Source organism: Homo sapiens, chromosome X (genome assembly GCF_000001405.40).
Source record: "Homo sapiens chromosome X, GRCh38.p14 Primary Assembly".
NCBI classification, from domain to species: Eukaryota; Metazoa; Chordata; class Mammalia; order Primates; family Hominidae; genus Homo; species Homo sapiens.
The window spans coordinates 69,575,619-69,601,616 of record NC_000023.11 but is presented as its reverse complement, the minus strand read 5'-3'; the positions used below and the strand labels follow the sequence as shown (position 1 = coordinate 69,601,616).

At 38.5% G+C, this 25,998-nt stretch overlaps 1 annotated feature.

Annotated features, from left to right (window-relative positions):
- Nucleotides 25,164–25,364: a silencer, noted in NCBI's record as "peak7391 fragment used in MPRA reporter construct". NCBI's record gives its function as "represses an SCP1 promoter by STARR-seq MPRAs in K562 erythroleukemia cells {active_cell/tissue: K562}" and the evidence as "EXISTENCE:reporter gene assay evidence [ECO:0000049][PMID:32103011]".

Below are 25,998 nucleotides of genomic sequence, written 5' to 3'. Positions count from 1 at the left end.
TTTGGAGAGTGCTTGCATTTTGTAGAGAGGGCTGTAGATTTTGTAGATTTTGTACATGCAGATTCTGGAGAGTGCTTGCATTTGGAATAAAGGTGTTTCCTGGGTTTTGCCCTGTTTTGTCCCTGGCTAGCCAGGGGAAAGTCTTTCCCATGGGATGGATCAAAAGGAAAACATTAAGCTTGCTTTTCTGGGCTGGACAGTTTATGTAGACCTAGGTTCTACATCCCAGCTCTAACTCTTAGTAGCTGTGTGATTGGCATACCCCTCTTAACCTCAAGCCTTCATCTATAAATGAGGAATTGGACTAGATGATGTTGGAGGTCCTCTCTAATTCTAATTCCAACTTTAGTTACCCACTGATCTGCTTTGCAATCTTCTTGACTTTCTGTCTTAACCAATCCAAACATTATTTACTTCCCAAAGCCCATGGCCCACTTTTGTCTCTCTCATTCTCGGGAGATGACCTGACTATCTTCTACGTGACTGAGACCCTCAAGTCATCTTCAAGGAGGATGAGCTACCTCAACTTCTTCCCTTACCCAATCTCTTCTTCTTCTCTCCTATGTCAGAGAAATTTATCTCTCTCCCAGCTGTTAATCCAGACCCCTCCTACTTCTGTAGAGACTATGCTCCATACCCTGTCAACAACATTTCCAATTTCTCCCTCTCTTCTGCTTCCTTCCTCTGCCTATAGAAATACTTAGATATCTTTCACCCAAAAAACCCTCCCTGGATCCACCCACCACTTCAAGATTTTATCCTTTCCCTTCCTTTTGCCACCAAACTAAAAACTAGCATCTATATACATCTCTATTTCCGTTCCAAAGTCACCGATAGGAGTCTAATGCCACTACTCCCTTGTATTACTCTCCTTTGCTAAATAATTCCATTGGCTTTGCTGGGCCCTCTTCTCCCACTTCCAAAGTGTAGGCTATTCTGGAACAGTGAGGAAATATAATACAATATAAAACTATATGCACACTAGTTAAATGATATATATTAAAAACCCTGGAGGAAGAAATCTTTCAAAATAATAAAATGGTTGATTTGGGTCATCAGACTTTTTTCTTTTTTCTACTTTCAAATTTCTTGTAATATTTTTATATTACTTTCATAATTTAAAGTAATTTTAACAGAAAAAAATAACATGAATACGGGTGCTATCCCAAATTCTACCCTCGGTCTTCTCTGTTCTTCTCTCTTGCTTCTTTGGTGATGTCATCTATTTCCAAGCACTCAATCATACCCTCAATGATAATGACTCTTATATCTAGCTCTTTACTTCTTGATGCTTTTCTGGATTTCCAGCTACCTGCTGGTAAGTGTCATTTGGAGGTACTTGCCACTATCTCACATTTAACACATCTTTCTGTATGAGACATTAATGTGACACCTCAACATATCCATAACACGGACCATTTCTTTACTTCACAGAACTAACAGGTCCCTTTACCCTAGGCTAAACCTTCTTCCCTTAACTGGATCACTGCAACAACCTTCTAACTGGCCTTTCCACTTTCTTCCTTGTTCTGCTCATACACCAGTGTGTATGATCTGCCTAAATTACAAAGCAGATCATGGTACTCTCCTGCTCAAAACCATAAGATGATTTCTATCTCAACCAGAATAAAATCTAAACTTCTTACAACTGTCTACAGGGCAATATACAATCTTGATCCAAGCCACATCTCTGAGCTCATCTCCTTCCCCTGGTGAAATCCTCTGCTTCAACTACCTTCTTTCTGTCCTGCACCTCCAACCCCAGTCAACTTCTCTCTTGCCTCAGGGCTATTGCACCTGCTGTTCCTTCTGCCTAGACTGGCTTTCAGTCTCCCCTATCCCTCCATCCTTTTTACATGAGACAGTATTTCTGTACATGAGGGCCTGTCTTGGTCTGTTTAGGCAGCTATAACAAAATACCCTCACATGAGCAATTTATAAAGAGCAGAAATCTATTTCTCACAGTTCTGGAGGCTGGAAAGTCCAAGATTAAGGCACATATAATCCATTGCTATGGTTTATATGAGTCCCCCAAAGTTCATGTGTTGAAAACTTTATCCCCAATGCAGCAGCGCTGGGAGATGGAACCTAATAAGAGGTGACTAGGTCATTGAGGGTTCTGCTCTCATGAATGGATTAATAACCTTATCTCTGGAGTGAGTTAGTTATCATGAGAATGGTTTTGTTATAAAAGCAAGTTTGGCCTCCTTTTGCTCTCCCTCTCTTGTACCTCTCTTGCTTTTCTGCCTTCTGCCATGGGATGGATGATGGAGCATGAATGCCCTCACCAGATGCTGGTGCCATGCTCTTCGACTTCTCAGCCTCCAGAATGTGATCCAAACAAACTCCTATTGTTTATCAAGTACACAGTCTGTGGTATTGTTATAGCAATATAAAACAGACTAAGACATGTGTATCAGTAGTTTGTTCCTTTCTGTTGCTAAGTAGTAATCCGTGGTATGGATATACCGTGGTTTGTTTAAACATTCACCCGTTTTATGTTACCTGAGTTGTTCCCAGTCTTGACTGTTATGAATAAGGCTGCTATTAACATTTGTGTACAAGTTTTTAGGTCAATACAAATTTTCATTTTTCTGGGATAAATGCCCAGGTGTGTAATTACTGGGTCATATAGTAATTGCATGTTTAGTTTTATAATAAACTATCAAACTGTTTTCCAGAGTGGCTGTGCCATTTTATATTTCCACCAGCAACATATTGGGAATTCATTTTCTTTACATACTAACTGGCATATGGTGTTGTCACTTTTCTATTTTAACCATTCTGATAGGTGTATAGTGATTATCTCATTATGACCTCACACAGGGCAATTTTTATCGCCCTAAAGGCTAATGGTGTTGACATACTTCCATAAGCTTATTTGACCATGTTCTTGGTTTCTTCATGTCTTTTGCCCATTTTCTAATAGGATTGCTTTTTTATTGTTGAGTTTTAAGAGCTCTTTGTAGTATATGAGATACAAATCCTTTATCAAATATGTGTTGTACAAATATTTTCTCCCAGTGTGTAGCTTATCTTTTCCTCCTTTAACATGTTTTTTCACAAAGCAAAAGTTTTTAACTTTGATAAAGTCCAATTTATAATTTTTTCTTTTATGGATCATGCTTTTGGTATAAAGTCTACAAATTCTGCCTGGCCCTATATCCAAAAGATTTCCCCCTATTTTTCTAAACTTTTAAATAATAGTTCTTTGTTAAGTCTGTAATTCACCTTGAGTTAATTTTATAAGGTATAAGGTTTAGATAGATGTTCATTTTTCTGCCTATAGATGCTCAGTGGCTCCAGGACCGTTTATTGAAAAGTCTATGCTTCCTCAATTGAATTGGTTTTACACCTTTGTCAAAAATCAATTGGGCATATTTGTGTGTGTCTATTTCTAGGTTCTCTATCCCATTTTATTGATCTATGTGTCTATCCTTCCAACGTGACACTATTTTGATTACTGTGGCTATGTAGCAGGACTTCATATTGGGTAGACTCATTCCTCCCATTTTATTCTTCTTTTTAAAGATGCTTTAGCTATTCTAGGTCCTGTACCTTTCAATATAAATTTTAGAATAAGCTTGTCTATGGCCATAAAAAAATGTTGCCAGGATCATTTAATTTAACACCTTTGTTGAGATATAATTGGCATACAATAAAATTTCACACGTTTAAAGTATACAATTTAATGAGATTAATGTATGTATATACCGTCACAATTAAGATATTGAACATAACCATTACTCCAAAGTTTCTGCATGCCCTTTTTTAATCTGTCCCCATTCAGCCTTGTCTCAAGGGAACTACTGATCTGCTTTCTGTCATTATGTATTAGTTTGCATTTCTTCTTGTTTTACATAAATGGAATCATACAATATGAACACTTTGGCTTCTTTCACTCAGCTTAATTCTTTTGAGATTCATCCATGTTATGCCATTCACTCAGTTTATTCCTGTTTAATGCTGAGCAATAGTCTATTGTGTCGACATACCACAGTTTGTTTATCCATTTCCAAACATTTGAGCTGTTTCCAGTTGTTGGCCAGTACAAATAAAGCTGCTATGAACATTCATGTACAAGTATTTGTCCTGACACATACTTTCATTTCTCTTGGGTAAAAATCTAAGAGTAGTGTGGTTGGTGCTATGGTTTGAATGTGTCTCCTCCAAAATTCAGGCATTGCCAATGTGGTAGTATTAAGAGGTGGGACATTTAAGAGGTGATTAGGTTATGAGAGTTCCCCACTTTTGTGAATGGGATTAAATGCCCTCTAAAAAGGGGTTGACAGGATTTTGTTCCTTTTGCCCTTCTGCCATGTGATAGCGCAGTCTTCCTCCCCTCCAGAGAGTGAAGCAAATAAAACACCATCAGGGAAGCAGAGAGCGGCCCTCAGACAACGAACATGCCAGACCTTGATCTTGGACTTCCTTGTCTCCAGAACTACGAGAAAATAAATTTCTGTTCTTATAAATGACCCAGTGGCTGGGCGCGGTGGCTCATGCCTGTAATCCCAGCACTTTGGGAGGCCGAGGCAGGTGGATCATCTGAGGTCAGCAGTTCGAGACCAGCCTGGCCAACATGGTGAAACCCCGTCTCTACTAAAAATACAAAAAATTAGCCAGGTGTGGTGGCAGGCGCCTGTAATCCCAGCTACTCGGGAGGCCAAGGCAGAAGAATTGCTTGAACCCGGGAGGTGGAGGTTGCAGTGAGCCGAGATTGCGCCATTGCACTCCAATCTGGGTGACAAGAGTGAAACTCAGTCTCAAATAAATAAATAACCCAGTCTCAGGTAATCTGTTATAGCAGCACAAATGGACAAAGCTGGATCTTATAGCAAATGTATGTTTAACTTTTTAAGAACCTGCAAACTGTTTTCAAAAATGGTTGTACCATTTACATTCCCATCAGCAATGTATGAGAGAGTTCCATTTCCTCTGCATCCTTGCCAAGACTTGGTATGGTCAAAATTTTAACTGTTCTAATAGTTGGTATCTCATTGCAATTTTATTTATATTTCCCTAAGGACTATCAATGTTGAGCATATTTTCACGTGCTTATTTGCCATTCAGATATCTTCTTTAGTGAAATATCTTTTCATATTTTTTGCCCATTTTTAATTTAGTTATTTATTTTCTTAGTGATAAGTTTTGGCAGTTCTCTATATATTCTGAGTGCATGTCCTTTATAAGATATATGGTTTGCACATATTTTCTCTCATTTTGTGGGTCATCTTACTCTTTTCTTCACCATGTCTTTTGAAGAACAGATGTTTTAAATTTTAATGAAGTCCAATTTATCACATTTTTATGTATTGTGTTTTTGGTGTCATATCTAAGACATTTTTGCCTAATCCTAGTTCACAAAGGTTTTTTTCTATGTTTTCTTCTAGAAATTTATATTTACATCTATGCTCTATGCTATTCTATCTAGAAGTATTACATTTAAGTCTATGATCCATTTTGAGCATTTTTTTAGATGCAAGGTATGGATTTATGTTCTCTCTTTTTTGACATATACATATCTATCTAATTGCTCTAGCATCATTTATTGAAAACAGTATCCTTTCTCAACTAAATTGCCTCTTCACCTTTGTCAAAAATCAGTTGTCCTTACATGTAAAAGTCTATTTATGGTTTTTCTATTCTATTCCACTGATCTATTTATCTATCTTCACACCAATACCATGCTGTCTATATTACTGTAGCTTTAAAGGAAGTCTTAAAATCAGGTAGTATTAGCCCTCTAACTTTGTTCTTTTTAATTTTTAACTGACAAATAATAATTGCATATATTTATGGAGTACAATGTGATGTTTCAATACAAGCATACATTGCAGAATGATCAAATCAAATAATTAACGTATTTGTCACCTTGAATGCTTATCATTTCTTTGTTGTGAGAACATTTAAAATCCTCTCTTTTAGCTATTTTGAAATATACATGATTAACTTTAGTCACCTTTGTTGTGCAATACAACACCAGAACTTATTCTTCTTGTCTAACTGAAATTTTGTACTTGTTGATAATGTCTCCCCTTTCCCCATCCCCCTCCCACCACCAGCCTCTGGTAACCACCATTCTACTCTCTACTTCTGTGAGTTCAACTTTTAAAAATTCCATGTATAAGTGAGATCCTGCGGCATTTGTCTCTATGTCTGGCTTATTTCATTTAACATAATATACTCTAAGTCCACACATGTTGTCACAGATGGCAGAATTTCCTGTTTATTTTTTGTTTTTGTTTTTAGAGAAAGGGTCTGTCACCCAGGCTGGAGTACAGTGATATAACTATAACCTTGCATTCCTGGGCTCAAGCAATTCTCCTGTCTCAGTCTTCCAAGTAGCTAGGACTACAGGTGCATGACATGCCTGGCTATTTATTTTATTTTATTTTGGAGAGACGGGGTCTTGATATACTGCTAAGGCTGGTCTTGAACTCCTGGCCTCAAGGGATCCTCCTGCCTCAGCTTCCCAAAGCATTGGGATAACAGGCATGAGCCACTGTGCCTGGCCTGGAATTTCCTGTGTGTTTTTTAAGGCCAAATAGTATTATGTATAAATACCACAATTTAAAATCCATTCATCCATTGATGGACACTTAGGTTGTTTCTGTATCTTAGCTATTGTGAATAATGCAGCAATAAACATGGAAATGCAGGCATCTCTTCAGCATACTGATTTGAATTCCTTTGGGTATATACCCAGTAGTGGGATTTCTGGATCATATGGTGATTCTATTTTTCAGTTTTTGAGAAAATGACTGTACTAATTTATAATACTACCAAAAGTGTATAAAAGTTCCCTTTTCTCCATATCCTTAACAATGCTTGTTATCTTTCATCTTTTTGATGATAGTCAATCTAACAGGTGTGAGGTGATATTTCATTCTGGTTTTATTTTGCATTTCTCTGATGATTAGAGATATTGAAGATTTTTTTCATATATATGTTGGCCACTTTTACGTCTTCTTTTGAAAAATTTCTATTCAAATCCTTTGCCCATTTTTAAATAGGGTTATTTGTTTTCTTTGTTCTTGAGCAGTTTGAGTCCCTTGTATATATTAGCCCCTTATTCGATGTATGATTTGCAAATATTTTCTCCCAATCCCTGTGTTGTCTCTTCATTCTATTAATTGTTTCCTTTGCTGTGCAGCAGCTTTTTATTTTGATACAATCCTGTTTGTCTATTTTTGCCTGTGGTTTGATGTCATATCCAAGAAGTCTCTGCCCAGACCAACGTCATGGAGATTTACCTCATGTTTCCTTTCAGTGATTTTATATTTTCAGGTTTTACGTTTAAGTCTTTAATCCATTTTGAGTTGATTCGTGTATAAGAGGTGAGACAAGGGTCCATTCTCATTTTTCTGTATATGGATGTCCAGTTTATTCAATGCTATTTATTGAAGAGACTATTCTCTTTTTCTTTCTCCATTAGGAGTTGTTGGCATCTTTGTGAAAAATCAGTTGACCATGGATGTGTGGATTTCCCTGGGCTCTTGATTCTTCTTCTTCTTCTTTTTTTTTTCTGAGACGGCATCTCGCTCTGTTGCCCAGGCTGGAGTACAGAGGTGCGATCTTGGCTCACTGCAACCTCCACCTCCCGGGTTCAAGTGATTCTTCTGCCTCAGCCTCCCGAGTAGCTGGAACTAAAGGCACACACCACCACACCTGGCTAATTTTTGTAATTTTAATAGAGACAGGGTTTCACCATATTGGCCAGGCTGATCTTGAACTCCTGACCTCGTGATCTGCCCTCCTCGGCCTCCTAAAGTGCTGGGATTACAGGCATGAGCCACCGTGCCCGGCCTGGGCTCTCTATTCTATTCCATTGGTTGATGTATCTGTTTTTATGCCAATAGTATGCTGTCTGAATTACTACAGCTTTGTAATATATTTGAAATCCAGTAGTGTGATGCCTCCAGCTTTCCCTTTTTCCTCACAATTGCCTTAGTCAAGATTTTTTGTGGTTCCATATGAATTTTAAGATTTCTAAAAATTTCTGTAATGAATGATGTTGAAATTTTCATAGGGATTGTATTTAATCTGTAGATTGCTTTGGGTAGTATGGGCATTTTTACTAGCCCTCTAATTATGTTCTTCTTCAAAGTTGCTTTAACTATTCTATGTCCTTTGCATTTCCATATGAATTTTAGAATCAGCTTGTCAATTCTACAAGCCTTCAGGGATTTTGATTGGGATTGCATTTAAATCCATAGATCAATCTGGGGAGAATTGACACTTTAATAATGTTGAATCTTCTGACCCACAAATATAATATATCTCCCCAATCATTTTGGGTTTTCTTCAGTTTCTCCCAGCAATTTTCTGTAGTTTTCACTGTACAGATCTTTCACATCTTTTGTCAGGTGTATCCTTAAGTATTTTGGATTAGGTATTGGATTAAGATCCCTAAGTATTTTGTTGCTATTGTAAATGGTATTGTTTTATTTATTTCAATTATTGATTTTTCATTGCTAGTATACAGAAACACAATTAATTTTTGTGTACTGATCTTGTATCCTGCAATCTTGCCAAACACACTTAATAGTTTAAAGAGATTTTCTAAAAATTCCATCAGACTTCTAGATAAATTATCATGTTTGTGAATAAATACAGTTTTACTTCTTCCGTTCCGATCTGGATATCTTTTATTTATTTGTCTTGCCTGATTGCACTGGCTAGAATGTCCAATGCAATGTTGAATAGAAGAGTAAAAGTGGACATTCCTTTCCCTATTCCTGATCCTTCACTAATAAGTATCATACTAGCTATAGGTTCTTTGTAACTGTTTTTCATCAGGTTGAGGAAGTCCCCAGTGATTCCTACTTTGCTGAGAATTTATATGAGAAACAGATGTTAAATTTTGTCATGTACTTTTTTTGCACTGGTTAAGATGATCATGTAATTTTTTCTTTCCAGTTTGTTAATATAGTGAGTTACATTGACTAATTTTCAAATATAAAATCAACCCTGCATTTTTGGGATAAACCCTATGTCATCATAGTGCATTATCATCCTTTTTATATAATATTGAATTCTGTTTGCTGAAATTTTGTTCAGAAAATTTTTGTATCAGGGTAGTGCTGGCCATAGAAAATATCTTGGTATCAGAACAATTAGTTGGGAAATATTCTCTCTTCCTCAATTTTCTGGAAGAGTTAGTGTTGAATTGGTATTGTTTATTCCTTAAATTTTTGGTAGAATTCATCGATGAAGTCATCTGGGGCCTGATGTTTCCTTTGTGGCAGGTTTTTAATTACCAATTCAATTGTATTAATAGATGTAGGGCTATTCAAGTTATCTAATTGTTCTTGTGTGAGCTTTGGTAGTTTGTTTCTTTCAGAGAATTTATCCATTTTATTTAAATTGTCAAATTTATAGGCATATAATTGTTAGCGTCCCATAATCCACTTAATATTTTGTGGATTCTGTAGTGATATCATTTTTCTTATTTCTGACATTAGTGATGCATGTCTTCCCTCTGTTTTGTTGGTCAATCTGGTAGAGGCTTACCAATTTTATTGATCTTTTCAAAGAACCAGATTTTGGCTTCATTGATTTTTCTCTATTGTTTTCCTGTTTTCTATACCATTGACTCCCACCCTGTTCTTTTTTTATTTACGTGTTTCCTTTTTTCAGTTTATTTTGGGTTGAATTTGCTCTTCATTTCCTAGTGTCTTAATATGAAATTGAAGTCAATGACTTTAGAACGTTTGTTCTTTGTTAATATAAGTGTTTTCATGCTATAAATTTTCCCCTTTTACTACTTTAGCAGCATCTTGCAAATTCTTCTATGTTGTATTTTCACTTTCATTCAGATCAGAATATATTCTAATAACCCTTTAGACCTCTTCTTTGATCCATGGATTAGTTAGAAGGGTGTCATTTTGTTTTTAAATATTTGGAGAATTTTCAGGTATGTTTTTGTTATTGATTTGTAATTTTGTTTTGATGAGAACACATACTTTGTATGGCTGGATTCTTTTAATTTTCTTAATGTTTCTTATATTACCTTCAATGTAGGCCATCTTGAATGTTTCATGTACACTTGAAAGCAATGAGTATTCTTCTGTAGTTGGGTGGAGTGTTCCATAATATAGTGAATTACACTATATTATGTCAATTAGTTTAAGTTGGTTGGTAGTTGTTAGACTGACAGAAATTTATTGTTTATAGTTCTGGAGGTTGGGAAGGCCAAGATCAAGGCACCCAGCAGATTCAGTGTCTGGTGAGGGCCCATTCTTCCTAACGGTGCCTTCTGCATGTCCTCATATGGTGAAAAGGCAAAGGGGCTTCCTCAAGCCTCTTTTATAAGGGCACTAATCCCATTAATGAGAGTGAAGCCCCTCCCAAAGGTCTCACCTCTTAATGTTATCACATTGGGGATTTTCAGCATATGAATTTTGTGGAGACACAAACATTCAGACCGCAGCAATAGTGTTGTTGAAATCTTTTACATCCTTACTGATTTTCTACTTATCCCATCAAAATTTTTTTTTTTTTTTGAGACGGCGTCCCGCTCTGTTGCCCAGGCTGGAGTGCAATGGCGTGATCTTGGCTCACTGCAACCTCTGCCTCCCGGGTTTAAGCAATTCTCCTGCCTCAGCCTCCCGAGTAGCTGGGACTACATGCGCCCGCCACCACGCCCAGCTAATTTTTATATTTTTAATAGAGACGAGGTTTCACCATGTTGGCCAGGATGGTCTTGATCTCTTGACCTCGTGATCCGGCCGCCTCGGCCTACCAAAGTGCTGGGATTACAGGCGTGAGCCACGGCGCCCGGCCTTATCCCATCAAATTTTAAGAGAGGGGTATTGAAGTCTCCAGTCAGAATCATGGATTTGTCTATTTTTTCTTGTAGTTCTGTCAGTTTTTGTTCCATGTATTTTGAAGCTCTTTTATTAGCTGCATAAACATTTAGAAATCTTATTTCTTCCTGATGAATGGAACCCTTTGTCATTATGAAATGACCTTCTTTATTCCTAACGATATCATTTGTGCTGAAATCTACACTGTCTGATGTTAATAGCCACTCCAGATTCCTTTTGACAAGAGTTGCCATGTTATATTTTCCCCATTTTTTCCTTTTCACCTATTTGTCTCTTTATATTTAAAGTATGGCTCTTGCAGGCAGCAACTATGGTTAGGTCTTGCATTTTTACCCTATTTGACAATCTCTGCCTTTTCACTGGAGTGTTGAGGTAATTTTCATTTAATGTAATTTTAGGTATGCTTAGATTTAAATCTATCATGTTTTCTATTTGTTCCATTTTATTTTTCTTCCATCTTTCCTCTTTGTCTTCTCTGGAATTGAATACTTTTTATTATTCCATTTTGTCTTGTTTTAGATTATTGACTATAACTCCTTGTTTTGTTATTTTAATGGTTGCTCACCCTTCAGACATTATAAGTATAATAGCGAAATAATACAAACAAATTTATGTCTATACTCCTTAGATGTAATGGACCAATTTCTTGACAGATACACATTATCGAAGTTCACTCAAAAAGGAATAGGTAACCTGGGTAGTTTGAGATCCGTCAAGTAAATGTGATTTGTAGTTAAAAAGCGTCCAGGCCCAGATGGTTTCACTCACAAATTCTACGAAACACTTAAGAAAGAAATAATGTCAGTTGTACATAATCTTAAAAAGAAGAAGAAGAAGAAGAAGAAGAAGAAGAAGAAGAAGAAGAAGAAAGAAGAAGGAGGAGGAAGAGGAGAAGGACAAGAACAGGAGGGAGAACTTCCCAACTCATTGTATGAGGCCAGTGTTACCCTAATACTAAAGCTAGGCAAAGATACTACATGGGAAGAAAACTACAGACCAGTATTTCTTATGAATATAAGATGAGGAGTCAGCATGATGTGTGCTGTTTCCCAGCCAAATTTAATTATGGAGGTGCAAGATAGGTGGACAGTTGGATTTAACCAGACTTAGGATTTGGCCATTTGAGTGAAAAGTAAGAGAGGAGCAAGGGAATTGAGAGCACATGCAAAGGAATTAAAATAATGGTTGGCCATGGAGTTTATGTACAGTATGGAGGGAAGTGTGGACATGAAAGAGAGTGGGAGTAGTAGCTTCATTGAGTGGGACTAACATATCATTAGAATAGGGGAATGAGTTAGAAAGATGTGGTAGTTGCAGACTGGGATGATTGAAACTCAGAAAAGAGAGGAATAGTAGCTTTTTTTTTTTTTTTTTTTTTTTTTGAGATGGAGTCTCACTCTGTCATCCAGGCTGGAGTGCAGTGGCGCCATCTCAGCTCACTGCAACCTCTGCCTCCCAGGTTCAAGCAATTCTCCTGTCTCAGCCTCCCAAGTAGCTGGGACTACAGGCGCCTGCCACCATGCCCGGCTAATTTTTGTATTTTTAGTAGAGACTGGGTTTCACCATATTGGTAAGGCCGGTCTCAAACTCCTGACCTCAGGTGATCCACCTGCCTTGGCCTCCCAAAGTGCTGGGATTATAGGCATGAGCCACCGCGCCCGGCCAAGGAATAGTAGCTTCTACTAATGTTAAAGTCAATGATACAACCATGTGGGTTAGCAGCTCAAGTAGGGTGGAGGACAAGGTAATTAGAGGAGAGGAAGTCAGGGAGCTGAGAGAAGGATAATCTATGTGGTTACTAAAATGACTAAGAATTATGACAGGAATAGTGTTAGTGAGAGTGACAGTGAGCCAGGTGCTAAAATCTTTGAGTAAGGGTGAGTGATCTGGGATCAGTAGTTGACTGCCCTGAGTACAGATAGTAGATGGTATAATCTGATGACATGAGATTTAAAGCTGGGGGTTACTATTGAGGAGGAAGGGAGAATGTTCTGGAAGCAACAATGAGAAGGAGTTCTTTTCCATCTCCAGGCCCTGTGGTGCTAGAAGTGAGGAAGAGAAAGCAGCACCATTTAAAAGGGTTTCAGAGAGTGAAGACCTTAGAGGAGAATTTGATTTCAGTAAAGCACAAAAAATGAAGGGAACGTATAAAGAAGCAGTTGTGGATACAGGGGAATGGTGATGACTGACCAGGAATTCCATGAAGTAAAGTGGAAGAATTTCAGAAGTTGAGGAGGGGAGGGATATGGGGTCATAAAAGGGATATACAGAGGAGACTTGGAGTGACTGATATCAACAGGTAAAAGCCATGATGAGATGATTTATCATCAGAAGCAGAACCAGTAGGATGTGTGTGACCAGAGGTGGAGGGGGGAGTGAAGAGAGAGAGAGAGAGAGAGACTTTATAAAGAATTGACATATACAATTGTGAGATTGTGTGAGAACTGGCTAAGCAAGTCCAAAATCTATACGGCAGTCAGTCAGGAAGGGAGGATCACAGGCAGTTTAGAACTCATGCACACAGGCTGAAACTTTTATCTGCAGGAAGTCATGAAGGAAGGATAATGAGCAGAATGGAATCGTATGGATATATGGGCCAAAGCTGTGGTCTACTGGTGGAATTTCTTCTCTCTCCCAGGGAAATCTCAGCTCTGCTTTTACAGCCTTTTAATAGATTCAGTCAGGTCCATCCAGGATAAAATTCCTTACTTAAAGTTAACTGATTAGGGGCTTAGTCACACCTGCAAAATATCTTCACTGAAACACCTAGATTAGTGTTTGACTAAATAACTGAAAACTGTAGCGTAGCCAAGTTGGCACATCAAAAAGGCATCACAGTTGACGTGGTCTTGGTATTTTATCTAATCTGACATTTTCTGCCTTATAATTGAGGTGTTTAGACTATTTACATATAATGTGATTACTGATAATAGCCAGGTTTAAGTCTATCATCTTGCTATTTTCTATTTTTCCCATCTGGTTTTTATTCCTCTTTTCCTGCCTTCTTCTGAACTGAGGATTTTTTGTGTGTGTGATTCCACTTTACCTCCTTTTCCAGCTTATTGACTATAATTTTTGTTTTGTTATTTTAGTGGTTGTTTTAGAGTTTGTAATATATATCTTTAACTTATCATAATCTACCTTTAAGTTATAGCATACTACCTTAAAAATAGTATAATCACCTTAAAATAGTATATTTTCATTTCCCCTCCTGACTTTTGTGTTTTGTCATACATTTTACTTTTAATTATAAATCCCGCAATACATTGTTATTATTTTTGCTTAACTATCCAATTATCTTTTAAATAGATTTAAATAATAAGAAAACAATCTTGTATATTTATTTACGTAGTTATCATTTCCAGTGCCCTTCATTCCTTTTGGTTCATTCCATCTGGTTCATTCCATATTTCCTTTTGGTATCATCTTCCTCCTTCCTAGGGGACTTCCTTCTATATTTCTTGTAGTGCAGGTGGTGATGAATTCTTTTGGCTATTGTATGTCTGAAAAATATTTATTTCATCTTTATTTTGAAAACTATTTCCATTGGGCAAAGATTTCTAGATTGGCAGTTCATTTCTCTTGCAGTCCTTTAAAGATGTTGCTCCGCTGTTCTCTTGCTTGATTTTTACAATGAGAAGTCTGCTCTCATTCTTTGTTCCTTTGAATGTAATGTGTCTTTTTTCCTCTGGCTGCTGTTAACATTTTACTCTGCATTTAAGAGTGTTGAAATTTTTCCCCTTTGGCTGCTTCGAATATTTTGTCTTTATCACTGGTTTTGAGCAATTTGATTATTATATGCCTTGGCTTGGTTTTCTTCATGTTTCTTGAGGTTCTTTGAACTTCTTGAATGCTTGGGTTTATATATTTCATCAAACTTGAAAATTTTTGGCCGATTTTTTCAAATATTTTTCTGCCTTCTTCCCTTTCAGAGACTCCAATTACATGTGTATTACATTGCTTAAAGTTGTCCCACAGCTTGCTGATGCTTCTTTTAATTTTTAAAAATTCTCTTTTCTCTATGTGTTTCATTTTCGATAGCTCTATTGCTATGCCTTCAGGTTTACTGATCTTCTCCAATGTCTAATCTGATCTTAATCTCATCCAGTATATTTTTCATCTCATACATTGTACTTTCCATCTCTGTGAGTTCAATTAGGGTCTTTTTGATATCTTCTATGTCTCTAGTTAATTCTTTGTACATATGTAATATGGTTAATAATAAATCTTTTCATGTGTCCTTGGCTAATTGTAACATTTGTGTCCATTTTGGGATGGCTTCCATTGATTGATTTTTTTTCCTCATTATGGATTGTGTTCTCCTTGTTTGCACACCTGGTAACCTTTGATTGGATGCTGGATAATGTACATTTCACATTGTTGTGTGCTGGATACTTTTGTATTCCTATAAATCTTCTTGAGGCTTGCTCTGGGATACAGTAGGGTTATTTGGAAAAAGTTTGACCCTTAGAGGCCTCGCTTTTATAATTTTTTTTTTTTTTTTTTTTGTGACGGAGTCTCGTTCTGTCGCCCAGGCGGGAGTGCTGTGGCGCGATCTCCGCTCACTGCAAGCTCCGCCTCCCAGGTTCACGCCATTCTCCTGCCTCAGCCTCCCGAGTAGCTGGGACTACAGGCGCCCGCCACTGCGCCCGGCTAATTTTTTGTATTTTTAGTAGAGACGGGGTTTCACCGTGGTCTCGATCTCCTGACCTCGTGATCCGCCCGCCTCGGCCTCCCAAAGTGCTGGGATTACAGGCGTGAGCCACCGCGCCCGGCCCGCTTTTATAATTTTTATGTGAATCTGAAATAGTACTTGATCTAGAGCTAATTATCTCCCATTACTGAGACAAGACCTTCCTGAGTACTCTACCCAATGCTTTGTGAGTTATGAAGTATTCCATTCTGGTTGGTGGGTATGGACACTATTACTGGTCTCATGTGAGTGCTGCATTCCCTTTAATCCTTTTGAATGGCTTTTTCCTTGCCTTTGGGTAGTTTCCTCACATGCATATGCTGATCTGGGGTAATATTTGCAGATCTCCAAAAGTTTCTTTTTGTGCAACTCCTTCCTCTTCAATACTCTGATCTATGAACTGTAGCCACTTTAGTCTACCTGAACTCTCACCCCCATCTTCTCAACTTAAGGAGTGTACTGGGATCTACCTGGGCTCCCCCTTATTGTGTTGTAACCTAAAAACTCCCTCATGGCAGCAAGTTGGGCAACCTTAGGGCTCACCTCATTTCTTTCTCATTTTTCAGGAATCACTATTTTTCATTGCCTGATAGCTAGTGTCTCAAAAAACCTTGTTTTATATATTTTGTCTGGAGTTTTCAGGGAGGTTGTGTCAAGTAGAAAGGTAAATTTGGTACCTATTACTCCATTTGGCTGGAAGCAAAAGTATTATCTCATTTAATATTTTTATATAAGAACTTTAGATATAATTCATATAGCATATAATTTATCCATTTAAAGTATAAAATCAATATTTTAGTATAGTCACAGAGTTGTGCAACCATTACCATAACCAATTTTAAAACATTCTCATCACCCCAAAAAAGAAGCCCCATACTCATTAGCAATCACTCTCCATTTTCCCCCACTAACCTTTCCTCAGCTCTAAACAACCATTAATCTACTTTCTGTTTGTATAGAGGTGCCTGTTCTTGCCATTTCATATAACTGGGCTCATACAATATGTGGCCTTTTGTGAGTAGCTTCTTTCACATGGTATATTTTCAAGGTTCATCTGTGTTACGGCATATGTCAGCACTTCATTATTTTTTACTGACAAATAATATTTAATTAAATAGATATAGCACATTATTTATATCTATATATAGGTATGTGTGTGTGTGTGTGTGTGTATAGTTGATGGACATCCGATTGTTTCTATCTTTTGGCAATTATGAAAAATGCTGCAATATAAATATTCATGTGCAAATTTTTGTGGGGTCATACACCTTCATTTCTCTTGAGCACATACCTAGGAGTGTAATTACTGGGTCACATGGTAACCCTATGTTAATTTTTTGAGATTGTCCTATTTAATTTTAACCCTTACAATTGTGTGAGGAAGGCTCTGTCATCTCCATTCTACAGAGAAGTCATGGCAGTTCAACTAGGTTAAGTAATTTCCCCAATGTTGCACTCCTAGAAAGTAATGGGATTAAAGACCAGGTTTTCTTGGCAAATAGTCACTCTCATATGCTGTTGTCAAGACGATAGATTGATACAATTGTTTAGAAGAGCAATTTGGCAATATATGTTCAAAATGTTAAATGCTTACAACCCAGTAAGCTTACACTTACAACCCAGTAGTTTCTCATCTAGAAATTTATCCAACACAAATACTACCACTTCTACCAAAATATGTGTACCAAAATATTTATTGTAAAGTCATTGTAATAAAAACAATTCGGACACATAAATGGCCAGCAGTAGTGGATTGTACATCCATACAATGCAACCATCAAAGAGAATGTGAAGATATATGCTGATCGAAAAAAAATGCTCAATAAATAGTAAAATAAAGTCAAAGAGCAGAATAATATGTATGGTAGTGATCCCATTTGTGGGGAAAACCAGGAAAGACATATGCTTATACATGTACTGGAAATTACTGAAACACAGAAATATATTGCTTATATATGAGAAATGGGAATAAGAGATGAGTACTTTTATTTTTCATTTTATGTTTCTCCGTGCTGTTTTAGCTATTGGTCATGATTTTGTATGACTTCTATAAATTTAAAAAGTGATTTTTAAATACCAGGTATTCTGACTCCAAATCCAGTGCTCTCCCTCATACATCATAACTATACAGTATTTCCATCTTCAAAACTACCACTGAGGCCCAGCATGCTGCCTTACATATAATAAGCACTGAAATAATTGTCAGAAAGATAAAGAATTCCTTCCCTTTAAGAAAAGGCTAATTGGTGCCACAAAGCAGGTTATAAAAATGGTTGAGAAACTTGTCTCAGAAAAGAAACTCATTCAATTGTAATAGAAAATTGATAAGAGAGGGATTAGAGTAAGTTAGAAGTGAGAAGTCTGGTGGTTGCCAGAGCAACCTCTTCCTGATTGGAAGGAATCTCTCACTGGAGAAGGGCTGTTGATGCAGGCACTGCTGCCTCCATCTTCTTTGTTTTCATTTAGGTTTGATCATCAGGCAATGAGCAAGTAAGCTAGAAGGAGTTCTAGGAGTCAGTGGCATAACCACAGCAACAGGCATGCTGGGACCTGACAGGGAAAGAGGACAGAGTAGACTGGCAGGCAGCAATAGCGAGAAAGAAGGGCCCCAACCTGAAGAAGGGAGATTGCCAAAAGTCCAAGTCACAGGGTTCAAGGTAATGAGGCTAATTCAAGTCTTATTTGTACTGGTTTCAGAGCCAATTTGGAGTCTGGGGCCCAGGAACAGTAGTATTTGCACAGCGGTGATAATCATAGAAATTTGGGTAGAAGTTTCTGGATTCTGGGGATTGATCTGGTTTGAAGAGAACATGGTCTAGTTCCCCTCTCAACCTAAGAAGACAGACTGGGCAAGGTCTAGGCTGGTGGGGGTAGGGTGAGGATGGAGTTCAAGCCAGCCATAGAAGCTACTAGAAGCTCCATGAGAGTAAGGGCTGCTCTTATTCACTGCCTTATCCACAATGCCTAGAATAATTTTTGACACAGACTTTAAATATGTGTCAAATGAGTGAAGCCCAGTTCTTTAGATTAGGGCTTTCCTCAAACACACCAGATCATGTGCTTAGGGTATCAAGCTAATTCTGAACTTCAGCCACCAGTGGGAAAAAGCTGTTGTTATATTTTCAGTCTTGGCAGGAGCTGGGTGAGGCTGACCACGAAGGCTAAAGACCTTCAATTCCTACAAATGGGCAAGTCTCTGGCAGGCAGAGACTGACAGCCACAAAATTTCTTTTAATCATATCGCAAATGTTACCTCCCCAGAAAGACTTTTTCTGCCTGCTATAGCTAAGATGCCCCTCAATACTCACCAGGTCATCCTCTGTCCCATTGCTCTGTTTTATTCACTATCTGAAAACACCTGAGGTATTTGTCCATGAGTTCAGTGTCTGTGTCTCTCCACTAGAATTTAAGCTTCACAAAAGCTGGAATTTTGTCTCATTCATTCCTATATTTCTGGCACCTAGAACAAGCGCTTGGTACACAATCAGTGGTCAGGAAATGTTTGTTGAAACCCAGGCTGGAGGAACCAGTCATCTAGTATAAGAACCATTTCCCACTTTTTTATCAGAGGAGAAATGAAAGCTCAAGTTTAATTTACACCGTGATTCAACAGTTGAGTTTAGTGACGAAGGTACCAATTTATTTTTGTTTCTATTTATTTACATTTTAATCTATTGAGCAGATATTTTCTATGTTAACCATTTTATATTAAACTAGAAAAAATTGTCAAAAGAACTCATATGTTAATCTATGACTACTTCTATCTATGTCTGAAGAAATGTTTGGGCCAGGCGCGGTAGTGGCTCACACCTGTAATCCCAGCATTTTGGGAGGTCAAGGCGGACGGATCACGAGGTCAGGAGATCGAGACCATCCTGGACAACATTGTGAAACCCCGTCTCTACTAAAAATACAAAAACTAGCCGGGCATGGTGGTGTGTGCCTGTAATCCCAGCTACTCAGAAGGCTGAGCCAGGAGAATCACTTGAACCCGGGAGGCGGAGGTTGCAGTGAGCTGAGATGGCACCACTGCACTCCGGGTGACAGAGCGAGACTCCATCTCAAAAAAAAATAAAAAAATAAAAAAAACACAGAAAAAAGAAAAAAAGAAATATTTGACTAGTCTATAGTGAAATCCAAGTTAACAATTCTGAAGATGGTGTTTCTCAGGGGAGGTAAAAAGGCCTCCAGCATCAGAATAACTTATCAAAAATTCATATTCGTAGGCCTTCCTCCTAGAACTATCAAATCATAATCTGAGGGGCAACCCAGAAACCTACATTTTAAACAAGCTCTCCAGGTGATTCTTGTCAAGAACTGTGAAGGATCTGAGATTGTATCCTACTTGCAAGCTAACAAGTTATCCTGCCGTGATTTCATGAATATTTGTAGAAGATATAAAACTCCTGGGTCAGAGACAGGAGTTATTATTATTATTAAATAATAATGTAATAATAATATTATTATTTTAATTTTTTTTGAGACAGGATCTTGCTCTGTCTCAGAGCTGCAGTGCAGTGGTGCGATCACAGCTCACTGTAGCCTCAAACTCCTGGGCTCAAGAGATCCTCCCACCTCAACCTCTCGAGTAGCTGGGAATGCAACCGTGCACCACCATGCCCAGCTAAATTTTAAATTATTTTTTTAGAGACAGGGTCTTGCTATGTTGCCTGGGCTGGTCTCAGCCTCCCAAAGCACTGAGATACAGGTGTGAGCCACTGGGCCTGGCATTACAGTTGTTACTATTATTTACAGCAGAAGCAATATCCAGAGTATCAGCATGTGTGCCAGTTTCCTGTACCCTAATTCTCACGGGATGACTTGAAGAGGGCCAGGTGATGCAAGCATCTGGATTGTGTTACAGAAGAGGAAACTGACCGGGGGCAGTGGCTTACGACTGTAATCCCAGCACTTTGGGAGGCTGAGGCAGGGAGGATCACTTGAGCCCAGGAGTTTGAGACCAGCTTGAGCAACATAGTGAGACTTTATCTCTATAAATAAATAAATAGTAAAAAAGAAGAGGAAACCCAAGCTTAACAAACCTGAATTTTTTTTAAAATTTATTTATTTTACTTTACGTTCTGGGGTACATGTACAGAACGTGCAGGTTTATTACATAGGTATACATGTGCCATGGTGGTCTGCTGCACCCGTCAACCCATCACCTGCATTAGGTATTTCTTCTAATGCTATCCTTCCCCTAGCCCCCCACCCCCCGACAGGTCCCAGTGTGTGATGTTCCCCTCCCTGTGTCCATGTGTTCTCATTGTTCAACTCCCAGTTCTTTTATAATGGGTAGTAAGCCTGCCTGACGTTTACCCTAGAAGGAAAGGTTATCTTTATTACATGGGACAGAAATAACCCTGCTCTTTGTTTTGGAGGGAGACACCATCTCTGTCTTCCAAGGCTGTTTTCTGTACAAACATCCTTGAAAATATAGTCTGTAACAAAGAAAGTCAGTGCCACTGCTCACAAAATATGCAGACACCATGGAGAATTATTTCCCAACAATTGTGTTGTCCACTCAGGTTTGGGAATCATTGCCTTAGGAAGAGTTAGCCATATCTGCAGAGCTACCCTAGCACACCAAAACCTGTTAGGTGCTGGCAAATATTCTACCTTGCTCTGCTCTTCCCAGCTTGACCCAGCCCTTCTCCTCTAGCCATGTTGTCTAAGGTCATGCTATTCCCTTCCAGGTAAACTTTTACACTGGAAAATAGACTCACAAGCTAGCTCAGAGGCACTGGGAGCTCCCACTAAAAGATCTGCTTGAAGAAGTAGGAAGTGCCTAGAAGGAGAGCAAATAACAGTAAGATAAAAGCTTATACATTTATTTGCTAATTACACAGATATTTACTGAGAACCTACTGTGTCCTAGCACTGTGTTAGACACTGGGGCTATTAAGATTCATTCCTCCAACATGTAAGTTGGAGTGCCATTTATGTGCCAGATACAAGTGAGAGTAAACTTTAAAGAAATAAAAATACTATCATCTCCCTCAAGTAAGTTAATAAAGAAGATAGCTGTGTAAAAAAAATTGTGCATCTGAAGCAGATATAACCAGTCTGAAAAATAAAAAAATAAAAAAAAATTGTGCAATGGTGTGATAAATGCTATAACAGAAGTAATGTACAAGGTACATGGATGACACTGAGAAGAGAATAACCAGTTATTCTCCAAGGAACATAAAGGAGGTCAGATCAGGGCAGGGAAGCCTTCACCACAAAGAAGATGATTGCACTAAGTCTTGAAGCATGCGTAGGAGTCTTCCAGGTAGGCAAGGGATTCCAATCAGAAAAAGAATATGGACAAAAGCACAGAGGCATGGAACAGAATGATGTGTTTGAGAAATTCCAAGTAGTTTGGTATGAGTGGCATATGAGGTGTGACTGGGAAAGATGAAAGTATGATGCTGGAGCGATAGGCAAGGACTAGATCTTGCAGGGCCTTATCTACTGTGCTGAGAAACCTGGGTGTATCCTAGAGGTCATGGGGCCTCACTGAAGGGCAAACCTTAAATTGCAAAATTAGATTTGCACTTTAGCAAAAAGGAGCAGGAGAAAACAATGATGAATGAGACTTGACCAAGCAGGTTTGGTAAGGGGTGAGAGTGGTCCATGGAGAGAACAACATGTAAAAAGGAGCAGAGCCATGAAAGAATATGGTATGTTCAGAGAATATCAAGTAGCATGATGTGGCCAGAATATAGGTACATGGGTGGTGAGGAGAGAGTGATAAAGCTACACAGGTAATTAGTATGGCAGATAAAAAAGGACATTGTAGGGAAGCAATGTCATGGACTGGCTTAAGAGAATGGACTCTGGAGCCATACTGCCAGCATTTAAATCCCATTTCCTCAACTTACTAGCGGTGTGGCCTTGGGAAAAATATGAGACCTCTCTTGCTTTAGTTTTTTTCACGTGTAAAATAAGGATAATTACAACCATCACCCCAAAGATTTGTTTTGAGGATGAAATCATTCAGTATGTAAAAAATGAGTTAGACTGTTCCCGCATTTAGTAAGTACCATATCAATATTAGCTGCTCTTAATATTTTAGACCATGTTAAGAAGTTTGAAGTTTAAATTTTTTTTTTTTGGCAATTGGAAGGTTTCTGATGACCTTCAAAAGGAGAGGGTATATACAAAGTGGTGTTTTAGGAAAACTAACATTGTGTCAAAAGTGTCAACGTGTTATTTTAGGCAAATTGGCAGTGTAGGGAGGATGGCATGCATGCGGAAGAAACTAGAGACATGGAACCCTGTTTGGAGAATACTGTAGAAATCCAGAATAAAGGATTTCTACAATATTTAATATGACAAGGATTTGACTAAAGGCAATGACAGTAAGACAGAAAAGAAGAGTTACATGTGAGGAGGAATTTGGAGGCAAATCGACAGAACTTGGGGAAAGTTGGATAAGGGGAGTGAAGGAGAGAAAGGTTCATATGCAGCTAGGGGTCCCAGGTTAATTCCATGTTTGAGTGTGCCATGTCAGCTTTTCCTAACTTATGTTCTCCCCTCCAGGTCCTGGAGGCAGTGACTGCCCAACTCTGTTATATTTCCGTACCTTCCCAAAAGGGCTATTCTTCTCCAGCTTCAGGCCCTTCAGCATGAAAAAGTTAAGAAAACACCATTTGAGATTTCCTGAAGAAGTTGACAGAATAAAGCTGACCTAGAGAATCTTACCCAATATCCTACCACCACTGCCAAATATCTAACAAAATGAACACATGCGCACACACACACACACACACAAAATCATAATTAGAAAGATGCTAGCGATTTCAACAGCAGCAAACAAGGAAAAGAGTAAAACTTCAAACTATAAATTCCCAAAGGCAGCAGCCAGGGAAGAAAATTAAAGGGCCTCGGGGCATTGCTACAATGTTCTTTACTCTGTTCCCACCCCTAGAAGCAACACTTAGGGAAAAAAACAAGTCAACAAACTCCTGTAAGTTATCCATCAGTGAAATCCACCAATTTGGAGAGTGGTCAACAGGACTGTGGGATGGAGGGGGAGGAGTTCAGAAACAGAGCATTTAGGAAGAGTCCAGCAAATGTCCTCAAGAGGAGAAGCTCTAACATATTACTGCAATATCTCAGCCAAAGCAGGCAGGGCTGCCAGGGCTTGCCATTTTCTTGAGGTTCCCTATTTCCCTGTTTCTTAGAAGTATTGAGCCAAAGCTTTGGGAGTGGACTATGCCACTGGCAGGTGGAAGTGGGCCATCTATGGACATTTAACAAAACATCAGAAAACAGAGAAAAGAGTCCAGGCCCCTCAGCAAAGAGGGGCCAGGCTTAGCTGAGTTTTGCCCTTCACAGACTTTATCTGAAGGCTACAGAACAATGAATTGAACAGAACATTCTGCTTTCAAATAAGACCTTGGAGGGGAATAGAAAAGGGTCCTAGATAAGCTGAGAAAGGTGTCATGGAGAATTAAATCAAATTATATCAAAGCGAATAGAAGTTCTGGCCAGACCTGCCCATGTTAAGCATAGGCAAAGGGGGAAAGAAATGGCATGGCTACTATGCCAACATACCACCACAACCAAAGGAGAAAAAGGAAAAAACATAGCATGCAAACAAGAGATTAAATCCATATGGAGCAGCAATTGCAGTCTTGGGCATTTATCCCAGAGAAATGAAAATTCATAGTCACACAAAAACCTGTGCACAAATGCTCGTAGCAGCTTTCCCCATAATAGTCCAAAACTGGAAACAACCCAGATGTACTTCAATGGGTGAATGGTTAAACAAACTGTGGTACACCCATATTATAGCATGTACTACTCAGTAATCTAAAAAAACAAACTGCTGATCATGGAATAACTTGGATAGATCTCCAGGAAATACTAAGTGAAAAAAGCCAATCCATAGAGGTCATATACTGTATACCTCCATTTATATAGCATGCTCAAAATGACAAAGTTCTAAAGGTGAACAAATTAGTGGTTTCCAGGGGTTAGGGATGGTGAGGGTCAAGTGGGAGGTATGAGGGTGTGGTCATAAAAGGGCAATACAAGGGATTCTTGTGGTGTTGGAATTGTTCTGTATCCTGGCTGTGGTGGTGGATACATAAACCTACACAGGTGATAAATTGCATAGAGGTTAAAAACACACACATACACACACACACACGCATCCGCATGCACTTGCACACAAAAGTGACTAGAAGCAAAGCTGAGGACATCTGAATAAGATGGATGAATTGTGTCAACGTCAATGTCCTGGTTGCGATTTTATACTATAGTTTTGCAAGATGTGCTACCTTTGGGGAAAATTTAGCAAAAGTTACATAGGATCTCCCTGTATTATTTCTTAAAACTGTATATGAAGTTACAATGATCCTAATTTTAAAATTCACTTAGAAAAACATGTGGAAGGAAACATAATCCAAGAAACGTAAGAATGCTCTGAGTTTTTCAGTGTTAGAACTCAATAAAATATGAATTCAATAAATAAGAATTAAAAGACAGGATAATAACTGAATGAGGAGATGGCAGAACTAAAGAAACATAGTAAGAACCAAACAATAGCATTTCAGCATTAATAAATTGATACGGTTTGGCTGTGTCCCCACCCAAATCTCAGCTTGAATTGTATCTTCCAGAATTCCCATGTATTGTGGGAGGGACCCAGTGGGAGGTAATTGAATCATGGGGGCCAGTCTTTCCCATGCTATTCTCGTGATAGTGAATACGTCTCACGAGATCTTATGGCTTTATCAGGGGTTTCCGCTTTTACTTCCTCCTCATTCTCTCTTGCTGCCTTTCGCCCTCCACCATGATTGTGAGACCTTCCCCAGCCACATGGAACTGTAAGTCCAATTAAACCTCTTTTTCTTCCCAGTCTCAGGTATGTCTTTATGAGCAGCCCGAAAACAGACTAATACAGTAAATTAGTAAATACCAGTAGAGTGGGGCGTTGCTGAAAAGATACCTGAAAATGTGGAGGTGACTTTGGAACTGGGTAACAGGCAGAGGTTGGAACAGTTCAGAGGGCTCAGAAGAAGAAAGGAAAATGTGGGAAAGTATGGAACCTCCTAGAGACTTGTTGAATGGCTTTGACAAAAATGCCGATAGTGATATGAACAATAAGGTCCAGGCTGAGGTGGTCTCAGATGGAGAAGAGGAACTTGTTGGGAACTGGAGCAAAAGTGACTCTTGTTATGTTTTAGCAAAGAGGCTGGCGACATTTTGCCCCTGTCCTAGAGATTTGTGGAATTTTGAACTTCAGAGAGATAATTTAGGGCATCTGGCTGAAGAAATTTCTAAGCAGCAAAACATTCAAAAGGTGACTTGGGTGCTGTTAAAAGCATTCTATTTTAAAAGGGAAACAGGGCATAAAAGTTCAGAAAATTTGCAGCCTGATGATGCAGTAGAAAAGAAAAATCAATTTTTTGAGGAGAAATTCAAGCCAGCTGCAGAAATTTGTATAAGTAACGGGAAGCCAAATGTTAGTCCCCAAGA